The sequence below is a fragment of the Homo sapiens genome, chromosome 20 (genome assembly GCF_000001405.40).
Source record: "Homo sapiens chromosome 20, GRCh38.p14 Primary Assembly".
Classification (NCBI taxonomy): Eukaryota; Metazoa; Chordata; class Mammalia; order Primates; family Hominidae; genus Homo; species Homo sapiens.
Genome location: NC_000020.11, coordinates 34,142,447 through 34,144,244, shown reverse-complemented (window position 1 = coordinate 34,144,244; position 1,798 = coordinate 34,142,447). Strand labels below are relative to the sequence as shown.

Genomic DNA, 1,798 nt, shown 5'->3' with positions numbered 1-1,798 from the left:
CCAGACCCTGGGGAGGAGAAGGTGGACAAGCAGCCTCCGTGGTGGTGTTTGGCTGATAAATGTGAGTGAAGCTCCAGTATATGACAGGGGCAGTCGGTCTCCCTCTATGACTCACCTTTCCTCTACGGATCTGTGCAACCCAGGCCACGGAAAAACACTCGTTTCTCCCAAGCCCTGGGAGACAGAGAAAGGGAAAGATACTGGGAAAAGTGCAGACAGTTTCCCAGATCTGGGGCCAAGAGGAGGATGCCATTTTTATTTTTATTTTTATTTTTTGAGACGGAGTCTCGCTCTGTTGCCCAGGCTGGAGTGCAGTGGCACTATCTCGGCTCACTGCAAGCTCCGCCTCCTGGGTTCACGCCATTCTCCTGCCTCAGCCTCCCGAGTAGCTGGAACTACAGGGGCCCGCCACCACGCCCGGCTAATTTTTTGTATTTTTTTTTTAGTAGAGACGGGGTTTCACCGTGTTAGCCAGGATGGTCTCGATCTCCTGACCTCGTGATCCGCCCGCCTCGGCCTCCCAAAGTGCTGGGATTAGAGGATGCCATTTTTAATCCAGGCTCATACAAAGCCAGACATTGTTTGGCAACCTGGCAGTGGCAGCCACAGCAGGCATTTTAGTCTCACGCTAGAGATTAGAGTGCTTGCTCTGGAATGGGGGAAGGGCCCACAGCCAGAATTGGTCACTGAGTGTGAAGAGTGCCCCAGCCATAAACACTGAATTAGGCTGTCTCCCATCATAGGACTGGAGTGAGAGGAGAGTTGCTGAAGCTGAAGTTTCTCACCAGTGGTGAGACTTGCAGCTAGGGACAGCTTTGTGACCTGGAACCAGTCTGCATGTGTCATTGCTTAGTGCCCTAACCTGCTCCCTTGGTCAGTTGGGGTATAGTGTCCCACCAGCTCCAAGAAGCAGAAGAGAGGGGCAGACCCTACGCCCCTGGAGATCTAACCCTTGGTGCAGTCCATCCCTATGGGAGGGGGAACATGGCCTGCCAAAGCCCCCCTTGGGTCACAGGAAATGCAAGCTCAGCACCAGTTGCTGAAGGCAGTACCACCAAAGCCCATAAATAGACATAGAGAGAAGGTCATCTCTCTCCCCTTACCCTTGTCCTCAGTGCACTGTTGTGGACTTGACAGTGGCTGTTCCCAACAGGGCTGGGGAGCATGGGCTTACAGAAACCACTTCTTGGGCTTCTCCGGCAGCTTCACCTTCACTGAAGGTGAATACCCTGAAGGAAAGTGCTTTTTGTGATTGACTCTCCATTGCTTCCACCCGCACACCTCCCTGATGGCTCTTACTCTTAAACACCATCTACTGGACGGCAACTGAATTATACCACTGAACAAAAGTGCATGCATCACTACAACAAATAATGTTTCAGAAAGCCACTGCATGAACTTATCTACAACCAAGGAACCTGTACAGAACCTTGGCACCCTGAAAACACCCAGAAATAAAGCCAATCAATCATAGACAACATACACCACAGTCATGCCAACAAGGGAAAAAAAGAATAAAAAATCAAGAAGCCACCAGGTGCAGTGGCTCATGCCTGTAATCCATCCTAGCACTTTGGGAGGTCGAGGCAGGTGGATCACCTGAGGTCAGGAGTTTGAGACCAGCCTGACCAACATGGCGAAGCCCCATCTCTACTAAAAATACAAAAATTAACCGGGCATGGTGGCAGGTGCCTGTAATCCCAGCTACTCGGGAGGCTGAGGCAGGAGAATTGCTTGAACTGGGGGGGTGGGGGAGGGGGGCAGAGGTTGCAGTGAGCCGAGATCACACCACTTCATT

General features: G+C 51.8%; 1 annotated feature.

The window, feature by feature from the left end:
* Positions 336–836: an enhancer, noted in NCBI's record as "H3K27ac hESC enhancer chr20:32731215-32731715 (GRCh37/hg19 assembly coordinates)". NCBI's record gives its function as "activates a minimal SCP1, AML or CMV promoter by ChIP-STARR-seq in naive H9 embryonic stem cells {active_cell/tissue: H9 hESC(naive)}" and the evidence as "EXISTENCE:reporter gene assay evidence [ECO:0000049][PMID:30033119]".